The sequence below is a fragment of the Homo sapiens genome, chromosome 15 (genome assembly GCF_000001405.40).
Source record: "Homo sapiens chromosome 15, GRCh38.p14 Primary Assembly".
Taxonomy (NCBI): Eukaryota; Metazoa; Chordata; class Mammalia; order Primates; family Hominidae; genus Homo; species Homo sapiens.
Genome location: NC_000015.10, coordinates 34,177,555 through 34,192,606, shown reverse-complemented (window position 1 = coordinate 34,192,606; position 15,052 = coordinate 34,177,555). Strand labels below are relative to the sequence as shown.

General features: G+C 41.5%; 1 protein-coding gene across 11 annotated transcripts in view; it reads left to right on the top strand.

The window, feature by feature from the left end:
• KATNBL1 (katanin regulatory subunit B1 like 1) overlaps window positions 1-15,052 on the top strand; it is a 69,423-nt gene that overhangs the window by 17,490 nt on the left and 36,881 nt on the right. For 3 of the 11 annotated variants that reach the window (XM_047433041.1, XM_017022571.3, XM_047433040.1), the window contains exon 2: window positions 14,608-14,786. The exons of 4 other annotated variants lie outside the window; for them this stretch is intronic. The gene's annotated coding sequence lies outside the window, so the exon portion shown is untranslated. Of the gene's footprint in view, window positions 1-9,006; window positions 9,030-10,579; window positions 10,621-11,056; window positions 12,140-14,607; window positions 14,787-15,052 lie in introns of those variants that run through there. 4 more of the 11 variants (XM_047433036.1, XM_047433038.1, XM_047433037.1 and 1 more) reach the window with 4 other exon arrangements.

Below are 15,052 nucleotides of genomic sequence, written 5' to 3'. Positions count from 1 at the left end.
ACAAAGTCGATTTCGTATACAGTCATTGAAGAGACCACCACCCTCTAGGCCTAAAAGCAAGAGACATGCCATTTTCTCTGTATCATTGCAGAGCATTGCCGTAAATATGTATGTCTCCCATGAATTGGCTTTGTTCACTGAAATAGTCTGGTATCCTATTTCTTGTAACTTACAGGAATTGTTTTTGTTTTTTTTTTTTTTTTGAGATGGAGTCTCACTCTGTCGCCCAGGCTTGAGTGCAGTGGCGCCATCTCTGCTCACTGCAACCTCTGCCTCCTGGGTTCAAGCAATTCTCCTGCTTCAGCCTCCTGAGTAGCAGGGATTACAGGCACGTGCCACCACACCTGTCTCATTTTTTGTACTTTTAGTAGAGACAGGGTTTCACCGTGTTAGCTGGGATGGTCTCGATCTCCTGACCTGGTGATCCACCTGCCTCGGCCTCCAAAAGTGCTGGGATTACAGGCTTGAGCCACTGCGCCTGACTGAATTTTTAATCATATAAAAAAGCAGAGAGGATAGTATAATAAACTTTACAATTACCCAGCTTCAGCAATTATCAACATATCTTACTTCGTTGATACTCCCTATTCTGTGCAAATCCTAAATGTAATCTCATTTTATCTGTAGGATGGATTTTTTTTTTTTTTTTTTTTGAGATGGAGTCTCACTGTGTGCTCTGTGGCCCAGGCTGGAGTGTAGTGGTGCAATCTCGGCTCACTGCAAGCTCTGCCTCCCAGGTTCACTCCATTCTCCTGCCTCAGCCTCTCAAGTAGCTGGGACTACAGGCGCCCGCCACCACGCCCAGCTAATTTTTTGTGTTTTTAATAGAAACGGGGTTTCACCGTGTTAGCCAGGATGGTCTTGATCTCCTGACCTCGTGATCCGCCCACCTCGGCCTCCCAAAGTGTTAGGATTACAGGTGTGAGCCACTGCGCCCAGCCAGGATGGATTTCTAAAAGACTCTCAACAACAACAATAAAAAAACACATAACCACACTACCATTCAACTAAAAATAATTAACAATGATTAATAATAATTCTTCTATCTCATACACGGCTGATCAGAATGTAAAATTGTATAATCACTGTAAAAACAGTTGGGCAATTTTCTTTAAAAGTTTAACATACACCTACCATAAAACCCAGCCATTTCACTTCTGGGTATTTACCCATGAGAAATGAAAGCATATGTTCATACAAGTTTACATGACTTACAGTAATTTTACTAATAATAGTGAAAAATGGAAACAACCCAAATGTCCATCAGTAGGTGAATAAACAAATTGTGGTATAGCCACCTAATAGACTGTTATGTTAACAGTCTGTTAACAATAAAAAGGAATAGACCATTGATACATGCATGCAACAGCATGGATGATTCTCAAACTAGTTATGCTAAGTGAAAGAAGCCCTACCAAATATATATATATATATATATATATATATATATATGGTCTATGATTTATATGAAATTTTTGAAAAGGCAAACTATAGTGACAGAAATACATTCAAGTGGTTGGGGAGGATATACATTTTAAGTTTTGTTTTTTTTAAACTAGGATCTAAGCAACATCCAAACATTGCATTTAGTTGATATAGTCCTGAAGTGTCTTTTAATATGTAGCCTCATCCTCTTATTTTATTTTCTTGCAAAGCGTTTGTTGAGAACACTGAGTCATCTATCCCAAAGAAAGTTTTCTGGATTTTTCTAATTGCATCCTCATGGTCGCATTAACAGGTTCCTGTGTCTTCTGTATTTCCATTAAACTGGTAGTTGGTAACAGGCAGTTGAAGCTTGATTATGTTCAGGTTTGATTTTTTTTGGCAAGAATATTTATTAGTAGTGTTGTTAATATTTCCTGTTGTATCATATCAGGATTCATATAATGTCTGGTTGTCTCTTTTTTTGATGCTAAAATTGATTAGTGTCTTAGATGTTGTCAACCTGATTTATCCATTGTAAAGTTTCCCATTACCTTCTTTAACTGTTTTTGCTTTCTATTGATGCTCAAATTGAGGAACCATATCTGGAGAAGAACTGGAAATTCGGAAATGTGGAAAGCTCTGGATTCTGAATTTTGAGTATACAAGAGTTTTACTGTGGTTGCTTAACTAGACAGCTTTCCTTTATTTCATGTTTACAATTTCCTGTTTGTCTTCGGGACCAGTGTGTCTACTGTGACCCAAGGTGTATTCTGGGATGCTTCATTGCCTCTTAAATTAGATGAACTGCTTCTGCGTTTTTAGTAACCTGTTTAGTAATCTGTTCCTCTTTTATAGCACTCATTATTCATATTCATTGGCTTCCTTGTTATTCGTCCCCACTAGATTGTAAGCTTCTTAGAAATAAGAATGTACTTCCAGGCCGGGCGCGGTGGCTCACGCCTGTAATCCCAGCACTTTGGGAGGCCGAGGCTGGGGGATCACGAGGTCAGGAGATCGAGACCATCCTGGCTAACATGGTGAAACCCTGTCTCTACTAAAAATACAAAAAATTAGCCAGGTGTGGTGGCGGGCGCCTGTAGTCCCAGCTACTCAGGAGGCTGAGGCAGAAGAATGGCATGAACCCGGGAGGCGGAGCTTGCAGTGAGCCGAGATCGTGCCACTGCACTCCAGCCTGGGAGACAGAGCAAGATTCTGTCTCAAAAAAAAAAAAAAAGAATGTACTTCTTATTCATCTCTTGACACATAGTAGTGCTGAATCAGTACATGCTGGATTGAATACATACACTTCCTTTTAATTGTTTAAGAAATGAACCCTAAAATAGCAGTACTGAAACATACAAAGGTAACATTTGATTTTCTCTTTTGAACAGAATTTGTGTGTAATATTAATAAGAGATAATAAAATATTTTTGTTTACTTTTTGAGTAAACTGCAGGGAACAAAGGAGAGGGAAGAGACAGATTTAGTTAGCTTTGTGCCGTCTTTATAGTCTTTTTGTTTAGGAAACTGTCTCCTCTCTATCAAAGAGTAAACATTTTTGTTTTTTCATTTTGGTTAAATGAATGACTATTTTATAGTGACCTATGATCATATTTTGTGATATCAAGTTTTTTAAACCTTTGATATTTGACAAACTTTCCGAAAGCAAAATTGCAAGTTCTAAGTTCAGTCTTTTTGCCTCAAACTTTTTTGGATATTGGGTTCCCTGAAGTCCAAGAGAGACTTATTAGACTTATTTGATGTTAGATTTATACAAGGAGGCATTATCAAATGCGAGGTGGTGTTTAACTTTCTTTGGATTATACTTACATAGATGTGGTATTAATATGTGTTCCAGGGCCAGGTGCAGTGGCTCACGCCTGTAATCCCAGCACTTTGGGAGGCTGAGGCGGGCGGATAACCTGAGGTTGGGACTTCGAGACCAGCCTGGCCAGCATGGCAAAACCCCATCTCTACTAAAAATACAAAATTAGCTGGGCGTGGTGGCGCATGCCTGTAATCCCACCGGAGGCAGAGGCAGGAAAATCACTTGAACCCGGGAGGCAGAGGTTGTGGTGAGCCGAGATCACACCACTGCACTCCAGCCTGGCGACAGAGCGAGACTCTGTCTCAAAAAAAAATGTGTTCCAGGTTGTATGAAATTCCTAAAATTCTGATGTCTTGATTATTATTAATATGTCAGTAATGACGTCTTTGTTACATTTTTGTATGCCACAAAAGTAACCAAATGTCCTTGTCAATTGTGTCTGTCCTGAGATTTTTGTCATTAATTGTTTTGCTTTGATTCTTTCCAAAAAGCAGCTGACAGTCAGTTATAATGCTGGGCTTACTTCTTTGGGGAGTTCATGAAAAGGACTCTTGAATGCAGGCCTCTGATAACTTTGGAAATTGTGCCATGAGACTAGAGAGAAAACTTCCAGGACTAACCAAAAGGCTGATGCGTTCATAAGAATTACTAACCCAATATGAAGCAGAGCAGGAGCTGATTGCATGGACAGAACTAATGGAGAACTGAAATAATTTTGTACGGCTTTTTGTTTGAAACACTGCTACTTTTTTGTTTTGTTTTTCAGAGTCTGGAAAACTTTTTTTCTTCCCCCTTTTTGAGACAGAATCTTGCTCTGTTGCCCAACCTGGAGTACAGTGGCACAATCTTGACTCACTGCAACCTCCACCTCCCAGGTTCAAGCAATTCTCATGCCTCAGCCTCCCAAGTAGCTGGGATTACAGGCATGTGCCATTATGCCTGGCTAATTTTTGTATTTTTAGTACAGACGGGTTTTCATCATGTTGGCCAGGCTGATCTCGAACTCCTGGCCTCAACTGATCTGTCCGCCTCAACCTCCCAAAGTGCTGGGATTACAGATGTGAGCCACCACACCCAGCTCATTTGCGCTATTTATAGCCTTTAACAGCTGAGTAGAGTGTACAGAATTTGAGGTGTATTTCTCTCTGCCCAGTTTCTTCAGAATTCATAAATTATTTGTGAATTTTCTTTTTTTTTTTTTTTTTTTTTTTTTTTTACATGGCGTCTTCCTCTGTCACCCAGGCTGGAAGGCAGTGGCATGATCTTGGGTCACTGCAACCTCCACTTCCCAGGTTCAAGCGATTCTCTTGCCCCAACCTACCGAGCAGCTGGGATTACAGGCACTTGCTACCACACCTGGCTGATTTTTGTATTTTTAGTAGATACGGGGTTTCACCATGTTGGCCAGGCTGGTCTCAGACTCCTGACTTCAAGTGATCCACCTACCTTGGCCTCCCAAAGTGCTAGGATTACAAGTGTGAGCCACCGTGCCTGGCCTATTTGTGAATATTCTTAATTTGTGGCAATGTGGTTGTTTGCATAAGTTCAGTAAGAATCTGTTTTCTTTTATAATGGGACAGCGATGGAGGAACTGGTTATTTTTCCAGGACTTTGACTGAAATGGCCTTATGATAGGTTCCAACAAAACCATTTTAGGAGAGGCTATGTGGACAATGATGTTTGCTGTACTTTGTATGGGTAATCAGGCCAAGTATAGTTGGACTGAAGCTTATTTTACAGGTGGCTTGGTCCTGCTGTGATTTATGTTAGGTGGAAGTGGGGGACTGGAGAGAGAAATATTGTATTTCAGATGAAAACTATAGTATTAGATTAACCTTTGATTCCTGGGTGGCCATGTTGTTATGGGATCTCTGGGGTGTCGATTTTTCTGGCCAGAACCTCTGTGGCTGCAGTGCCTTTGCCCAAGTTCTTGTCCTGTGTCCAGGAAGAATGAGGTACACAGACAAGTGAAGGGTGAAGAAGAATTTTATTTAGTGTTAGAACAGCTCAGAGGAGTGTGTAGCTCCTCTCTGTAGGCAGGTCGTCCAGTTGAGTGTTCAGCTCTTAGCAGAGAAGAGGCCCTGGAGAGAGTGGCTCCTCTCTGCAGTTAAGTCATTCTGATATCTCTGCAGGTCTCTGAAGCGCTCAGCAGATAGGGCAGCTTCTCTCTTCCGCCTGGTCGTCTGCAGCATTCAGCGGAGCGGGTACTCCTCTCTGCAGCTGGTGGTCCCATCTTCTCCAACTATCAGCAGAGAGGATACTCCACTCTGCAGCTGATTGTCCTCTTCTGTCATCATCTCTCTGCCATCTTTGTCCTCTGGCATCCTCCGCCCTGCTGTGGCTGAGCCCAGGGCTTTTGTGGACCTCAGAGAGGAGGAAGTGCATGCCAGTTGATCCATGGGCTGTCATGGGTGGGCCCGGAAGAGGCACCACGAGTCCCCATTCTTGTCCTTGGGACTGGCAGCCCAGCCCCCTTCCTTCAGGTCCTCCCTGGCCTGAGGGTGGGGCCTTACTGGGGACCCTGCCCCCTTCCATCCAGGACTCTTGTCTGTCTCCCGCTGCCATTCATGGCCCTGGGGCTTGGCCCCAACCCTGCTCTCAGATCAGAGCAGGTGCTGGGAGCAGAGAGAGGCCAGGCAGTGGGAGCAGACACCCCTGAGCCTGCAGGGACAGTGGGGAGGGGGATCCTTCCTGGGGCGCCCAAGGGTGTAGACTGCAGAGACGCCCTGGTCCTGTGCCTGGGAGGGCAGCCACAGCTGCACAGGGGAGCTCCCACCCCACCAATTTGGAAGAGGCAGGGCTCCCGCCTGTCCCCACCTCCTGCCTGCTTCCTGGAGAAGGAGGCCCAGGTCTGCAGCCATAGGTAAGGTGGCTGCAGCTGCACCCTGGAAGGCAGATCCTGCCTGTTCCTGGCTCCCCAAAGAGCACAGGGAGGCTGGGATCCACAGCTGCAGTTTGGGTGGCTGTAGCCCACCTGGGCAGGGCTCCTGCTTGCTCAGTAAAGCAGGAGACCTGGGTCTACAACTGCAGCGGCATGGGGACCTCCTGTCCCAACTCAGAAGGGGCGGGGCTCCCACTGGCTTCATGGATTGTGCAGACCCAACTGGTCTTCCCTGCTGCAACTGGCATGATGGTGGCAGCCACTGTCATCAGTGTGGTCACTCATGGTACCTAGTTGCCCACAATGCCCCTCCTCAGCATGAAGCAGCCAGAAAGATCAATGACCAGACTCCCCATGATCGAGGGACTAATAAATAGAAAGGAGGGTACTGAAATGGCCCAATTGTCCCATAGAAGTGATGTTTATGGTTTCTTTGAATAAACATAGAAATTGACCCTCCCGATCTTAAAACTTTGAGAAAGTAACTCTTGTCTTATATGAATTCCTTTCTCAGGAAACCAACCAGCAGGACTCTCAGACAGTATCATGGAACTAAAACGTACCAGATCATAGCATCTGGACAATGAGACACCAGACCCCTTATCTGTCATGATTGCCCAAGTGGCCGCCTGCTTCCTGTTGACCAACTCTTCTTTCTTACCCCTCCCTAATTCCTGTTTTCCTGCATGTAGTTACATTTCTTCCCTGCTATATAAACCCCTGATTTTAGTTGGTCAGGGAGATGGATTTGAGGCCGATCTTCCATTTCCTGAGCTGCAGCACCTGATTAGAGCCTTCTTCCCTGCATTGTCTCAGTGATTGGCTTTCTGTGTGCCAAGCATCAGGACCTAGACCAAACCCCTGCTGTTCTGGTAACAGTATTTTGAGTGTGATGGTATTCATTGTTCACTGGAGGTTATATATCTATAGGTATACATTTATATTAACTAATCTAATAATCATTGATTTACAATTTACATTGCATACGTAAATATACGAAATGCAGTTGCTGCCCAAGAGAAGTTTTGCAGTCTATTTGGCAAGAGGAGACACACCTGGATTAGTTAGTGCCCAGTCATATCTTACCTTTAGGCCTTCAATTATTTGTAGATTGTTAAGTCTTAAACTGTGCAGTATTCACTAAGTACAAAAAGAGATAGTGAAGGAAGAAATCAACGAAGACAAGGATCTAGAGTCCTTTAGAGGCCAGCACAGTGGTGCATGCCTGTAATCCCAGCACTTTGGGAGGCCAAGGCAAGCAGATCTCTTCAGCCCAGGAGTTTGAGATCAGTCTGGGCAACATGGTGAAACCCCGTCTCTACAAAAAATACAAAAATTAGCTGGGCATGGTGGCAGGCACCTGTAGTCCCAGCTACTTGGGAGGGTGAGGTGGCAGGATCACTTGAGCTTGGGAAGTCAAGGCTGCAGTGAGCTGTGATCATACCATGGCACTCCAGCCTAGGCACAGAGCGAGACCCTGTCTCAAGTGTTTCAAAGAGGAAGATTTGAACTCAAGTCATCAAGAGAGGCTATGATGAAGTAGAAAGGAAGGAAGGAGAAGTTTTAGAAGAAACATTTTGTTTTAATAAAAATGAAACATGGCCAGTCACAGTGGCTCATGCCTGTAATCCCAGCACTTTGGGAGGCCGAGGTGGGCGGATCACGAGGTCAGGAGATCGAGACCATCCTGGCTAACAAGGTGAAACCCCATCTCTACTAAAAGTAGAAAAAAATTAGCCGGGCATGGTGGCGGGCGCCTGTAGTCCCAGCTACTCGGGAGGCTGAGGCAGGAGAATGGCGTGAACCCAGGAGGCGGAGCTTGCAGTAAGCCGAGATCGCCACTGCACTCTCCAGCCTGGGTGACAGAGCGAGACTCTGTCTCAAAAAAAAAAAAAAGAAACATTAGGAGAGACAGGAAGTATTAATACCAAAAGCTATGTTTAAGGATACTTACAATGAGTTTAGGAGTTCCTTTTTTTTTTTTTTTGAGATGGAATCTCACTCTGTTGCCCAGGCTGAAGTGCAGTGGCGCAATCTCGGTTCACTGTAGCGATCTCAGCTCACTGTAGCATTGGCCTCCCAGGTTCAAGTGATTCTGCTGTCTGACTTTCCCGAGTGGCTGAGACCACAGGTGCGCACCACCACGCCCAGCTAATTTTTTTTTTTTGAGACAGAGTCTCGCTCTGTCGTCCAGGCTGGACTGCAGTGGCGCGATCTCGGCTCACTGCAAGCTCAGCCTCTCGGGTTCACGCCATTCTCCTGCCTCAGCCTCCCGAGTAGCTGGGACTACAGGCGCCCGCCACCACGCCTGGCTAATTCTTTTGTATTTTTTCAGTAGAGACGGGGTTTCACCGGGTTAGCCAGGATGGTCTCGATCTCCTGACCTCGTAATCCACCCGCCTCGGCCTCCCAAAGTGCTGGGATTACAGGCGTGAGCCACTGCGCCCGGCAGTTTTTTGTGTTTTTAGTAGAGATGGGGTTTCACCATGTTGGCCAGGCTAGTCTTGAACTCCTGACCTCAGCTGATCCACCTGCCTCGGCCTCCCAGAGTGCTGAAATTAAGGCATGAGCCACCGCACCCAGCCGAGTTTAGGAGTTTCTACCTTTTCCCCTCTGCTTCTTGTAAAAGATTTAATGTGGTAGTTTCTTAAGTTTTTGCCCTCTTCTCATAAATGGAATCACTTGATCTCTGCATGGCATTCTAATGTTAGTACTCTGCCAAACTTTGCCTACCACTTTGAAATCACTTTGAACATCAAAATATTCTCTCAGGTTTTAAGAATTTGGTAATTAACTTATTTATTCCCCTTTCTCTTTATTCTAGTTTCCTCCTCTATTAAAAAATAATCGTATTTTATTGTCTGCAGGTTTTTCTTTCTTTTGGAGTGAGGCAAGGTAAATACATAAATGTCTTTAATAGATTTAAAAAAGTGAGATTCAGCTGTTTCCAAGGTTATAGAGCTAGTTAAGTGGGAAAGCTGGGAATTTGAACATGGATCTGTTTGACCTAATCTTTTTAGCTGCACCAGCCTTTAAAAATTCGGATGAGTCTTTAATTTTTTACCCAGATTGTAAGTTGTGATACCTACCTGCATAGTAAGTAGAAAGCTTTCCAGAGAGCTGGGAGGGGCAGGAGGAGCCTGGAGGCCTTTGCAAATTAAGTTTTAACTCCCATTGGCCTGACAGCACTTACCCCACATCATTGCATACAAAGGGTACTGAGGGCATCCCCAGTCTGCAGGGTCAGACCCAGCCCACACAGCTGAGAGGAGCAAACAAAACCGGTAGAGCTGGCCTTGGTAGTCGCCAGTCAAAACGAAAATTCCAGATACTTTGAGGAATGTTTCTGGCACCTCCAGGATTGAAGAGTAACCAGTTTCCTGGAGACAAAAGAATGGATGTGGGCCAAGGGGCGCCATATTTCTCAGCTCTGTCAAGCAAATGCCAGGTATCCAAGGAGTCTAGTGAAAAGCCATGGATAGCTGTGTGCCCCAATTTATTTTTAAGTCAGATTATTGAGGTATCCTTTCCGTGAGTTTTGGCAGTTGTGTAATTACCACCACAATCAAAATACAGAACATGTCCCTCTCCTCAAAATGTTTCCTCTTATCCTTTTTAGTCAGCTTCCTTCCCTGTCTCTGGCAATCACTGATATTTTTCTTATCCATATTTATTTTCTAGAATGTCATGAAAATGAAGTTATGTAATATGTAGCCTTTCGAATCTGGCTTCTTTCACTTAGTATAATGCATTTGAGACTTATCCAGGTTGTCATGTTTATTAGTAGTTCATTCTTTTTTATTGCTGAGTAGTTAGTCATTTGTATAGAAAAAAATCATGAATAAACCAGTCTAGGATGGTAAACATTTACCTCAGGTGGGGTGAACATATATCCCAATATTCGTGGGACTGATCTGATTTATGCCTATTGTCCCAGCATAATTTTTAATAGTAACTCCTTTCACTCTCAAAAGTGTCCTAGTTTGGATGATAAATTCTATGGTCACTCTAAATGAGGGCATACTGAGATGTGATTATATTTCATTTGCTTTACAATGCTGTCAAATTTGCCTTCCAGAACACCGTAATTGTATATGTTTATATTTCTTATAAGTATTATTGGTGATAATAGCAGTAATAACTTACGTGTAATCTCATTTTGATTTTCACAATATTCTCATTTTGCATTTGAGAAAACAGATTTAGAATAGAATAAATGATCTGCCAAAAATCATGAGCTAGAAAGTGATGAAAACTGTATCATCTGTTTATACATTCAGCCCTTAATCTCTCATATTAATTGGGAGGCATTACAGTGTATTCGTTAAGAATATAGGCAATGGATACAGAACACCTGGGTTCCAGTGCAGACTCTTACTTGTTTTCGTTGTTTAATCTCGGGCAAATTATTTAATCTTTTTATGCCTTTATTTTCTTACCTATAGAAAGAGGATAATATGTCTTCAGTGCCTACACCTGGCATATGGTAAATTTTTGATAAAGTCTATCTGTTATTTTTAATGATACTGTTAACACTATCGTAGTGGAATCTTTCCCCAGCAAAACCCTTTCTCCTCCCCATCCATATATATATATATATATGGATATATATATATGGACTATATATATGTGTATATATATGGATATATATGGACATGTATATATGTATATATATGGATATATATATGGACATATATATGTGTATATATATGGATATATATATGGACATATATATGTGTATATATGGACATATATATGTCCATATATATGGATATATATATGGACATATATATGTGTATATATATGGATATATATATGGACATATATATGTGTATATATATGGACATATATATGTGTATATATATGGACATATATATGTGTATATATATGTATATATATGGATATATATATGGACATATATATGTATATGCTGGAATGTTTTGTGTTTTCTCCCTTCTAATTTAAAAAATTAATTATTAATTTTTAATAGTAATGTCTCTAATTATGAAGACCTTCAGTATTTAAGAGGTGAAAGATTAATACGATCTGAAGAGAAACGAGAGTATGTCTTCGATATTTAGATAAATAGTTTAGTCTTGGTGTAGCAAATCAGTTCCAAAAACTATGTTTCTTGGAAATCTACATTTTTCAAATTTTTTATGTATCTTCTAAAATAAAAATAAGATAGGATGATGGCTAAGTCTGGGAATCATGGATTAAAATTGTGCCAACTTCTTAGGGCCTTTTTAATATATTTAAATTCCAGGAAATAGTTTAACGTGCAGCATATCCAAATGTACTTGAACACCATACAGCATCCATTAAAATCTACAGCACTACTTTGGAAATTCTGTAGTAGTATTTTACCATGAACACTATAGGTAACACTTGTATAGGATGATTTGCAAGGACCAGGAGAAGACTGGTGGCAGGAAAATCAAATAATTGTTATGGTGATTTAGGCTTGAAGTTATGGGGCTATAGTTCTGACAGTGGAAGAAGGAAGATCTGAATGGATCTGTGAAATATTTTGAAGGAAGGTTTTTTGTTTGTTTTGCTTTGGTTTGGTTTTTTTTGGAGACGGGTCTCACTATGTTGCCTAGGCTGGTATCGAACTCCTGGGCTCAAGTGACCCTCCCGCCTCAGCCTCCCAAAGTGCTGGGATTACAGGTGTGAGCCACTGTGCCCTGCCTGAAAGAAGATTTGAGAAAACTTGGTGATTTGTTAGAAGGAAGGAGAAAGGAGTCAAAATAACTCCCATGTTTCCAGTCTGAGAGAATTTTGCCAGTCATTTCAAATGTGATAGCTAGGAAGGGCAGCAAGTTGGTTTGACATTGAAGAGATTTAGATGTGTTGACTTGGACCTAGCAGTGGCTGACCGAGGAGCCAAATACAAAGAAATTAAAGAAGACCTGGGTCGAGAGAAATAACTGAAGCCATGAAAGCATATTTCTTCAATTTCAGTAGAGAGAGGAGCTGCTGGAGGAAAAGGAACCAGAAAAATGGTAAGGGAACAAGGAGAGTCAGGACAACTGTGTCGTATGAACAGAAAGAGTCAGGGAAGGGCCCTGAAGTGACGAAAGAGCTAAATGGTGATGAAGAATGAGCAATGTCTTTAGAGTTGGCTTGGCTGACTTTGATGAGCATCATCAGTGCTATAAAGGCTCCTATATAGGTTTAATTCAAGACGCATTTTTTTTTTCAGATGAGAGAGCAAAATAAAAGCAAGATTACAAAGAGTTAAAGAGAAAATGGAAGCTAAAAAGCACTCATTGTAGAAATTTGGCAGGAAAGGGAAGCAGAGAAAGAGTATAGGAGTTGATCACGGAAATCTGATCATGTTTGAAAGCAGAAGGGAGGAATAAGTTCAAAGGGAGAAATCAAAGATTTTTAAAAAGGGTTTGTGGGAGCAAAGTCCAAATTGAGGTGAGAAAGCAAGAACTGAGAAAATTAGATGAAGCTGTCCTAATTTTGGAAAAGTTAAAATAGATTCTTCTTATGAAATATTACCTCCATGTATTGGCATTTCCACCTTTTTTGCTTGTTTACTATAAGGGAGTTATACGATTAAGCCATGTTTTATAAGATAGTGATCTCATTAAGTTAAAATATTTATTTCTTCAGATTATAAAAATAATTCGTGTTTGTTGTAGAAAATAGAAAAACATGTTAAGTGATGGTGGGGGGGAGCACCCATAATCCCACCAACAATAAATAATTTCTGTTAATGTTTTGATAGACCTTTTTTGATTGGATAGATCTTACCTATATCTCTTTTGAAAAACCTGGATCTTACTATGCATTTAGTTTTCTATTCTGCTTTTTAAAATACTGTTGCTTGCCAGGTGGGATGTTGTGTGCCTATAGTCTTGGCTATTCTGGAGGCTGAAGTGGGAGAATCTCTTGAGTCCGGGAGTTTGAGGCCAGCCTGGGCAACCTATGAGACTTTATCTCTTAAAAAACAAACAAAAAAAAATACCATTGCTATGGTTTCAATGTGCGCTCCAGAGTTCACGTGTTGGAAACTTAATCCCCTATGTGACAGTGTTGAGAGGTGGGACTGTTAAGAGATGATTAGGTCATGAGGGCTCTGTCATGAATAGATTAATATTTTTATCATAGGAGCAGGTTCATTATTGTTAAAGTGGGTTTGTTATAAAAGTAACTTTGGCCCTTTTGCTTTCTGTTTTGCCCACTTACCCTTCTACCTTCCACCATGGGATGAGGAAGCAAAAAGGCCCTTGCTAGATATGGGCCCCTCAGTCTTGGACTTCCAAGCCTCTAGAACTAAACAAAATAAACCTCTGTTCTTTATAAATTACCCAGTCTCAGCTATTCTGTTGTAGTAGCACAAAACGAGCTAAGACAACCATTATTTTTGGACTTGGCTTCACTTCACAAAACAGCCTTTGAAAATAGTCTTTTTAATATTCCATTGTAAGCACCAGTCCCATTGAGATCAGCCTTGGCTTTCTTAGATCCATTCTTATCACCTTCTTTTTTTAACCTGATCTGTATTGCATTTTGAAACATAACTACAGATAATACTGTGGTTATGGAAATACTGCACATATTGAGAGTCTGGCAACTGAATTTAGGAGGAAAGGAGGAAGGAATCAGTACGTACAGGCCCTAAAGATTATCCCAGAAAAATCTCATGTTTACCTTCTCTTCTTCTCTCCTTCAGTGAAATCCTTTTTTTTTTTTTTTTTTTTTTGAGACAGAGTCTTGCTCTGTCGCCCAGGCTGGAGTGCAGTGGCACGATCTCAGCTCACTGCAAGCTCCGCCTCCTGGGTTCATGCCATTCTCCTGCCTCAGCCTCCCAAGTAGCTGGGACTACAAGTGCCCACCACCACACCTGGCTAATTTTTGTATTTTTAGTAGAGACAGGGTTTCACCGGGTTAGCCAGGATGGTCTCGATCTCCTGACCTCGTGATCTGCCCTCCTTGGCCTCCCAAAGTGCTGAGATTACAGGTGAGAGCCACCACGCCCGGCCCATTGAAATTCTTGAAGAAAAAAGTTCATGTTCACCCTTCCCTTTCATTTTTTACATGGTAGCTGCCTCATGGGAAAACTTGTGATAAGGCCCCATGAATCTCCTGGTGGGCCTTAGAAAAGAGAGGAAAAGGTTACCCATGTTAGATGAAGGAAGGATGGTAGATAGCTTATAGCTTATGTTCACCTGTCCACCTGTTGTTATCTCCTCAGAAAAATTAGTACTGTCATCTTATTTGGCTTCAATACGCTGTTTAAAGTTGGTTATTCGGATTGAAAATGTTTATTCCAGTTGAGAACAAATTGAATTCAATTAACGAAAATAGAAATGTGGTTGAATGGCATGTATTCTACGTCCTGTGATCTGCTATTAACTGTCTTTGGGTTAGTTACTTGACATCTCTGGGTTAAAAAAAATAGACTAAAGCTTTTACGTTCTAAAACCCTTTTATTTCTTATTTATGTATTGTATTATAGTGGTTATAAACTGTTTTCACCTTCAAGATTCTTGAGAGATAACTACACATACCCTTTGCCATAGTGGGAATGACTGTGTAGTAGTAACTGGAGGAGAAAGTTTCTTTGTACACAACTATGCTTTGATTTTCAAGAGGAGGAATGAAATTGCCTCGTAAAATTACAGAGTTAAATACAATGTAAGTGATAAATATATTGTAGTATATTAATGGAAAAAGAAAGCTTAACTTGATCTTGAGCTATAACTTAAGGTGTTACAAACAAAAGTCTAGATGTGTTCCATTCCTGTATGATGAGTTTTTCTCATTATTTTAAGTAGATGTGGAGTATGTGAACACTTCGAGCTGTTTAATCCTTTTTTTTTTTAAGACAGAGTTTTGCTCTTGTCACCCAGGCTGGAGTACAGTGGCTCGCTGCAACCTCTGCCTCGCGGGCTCAAGTGATT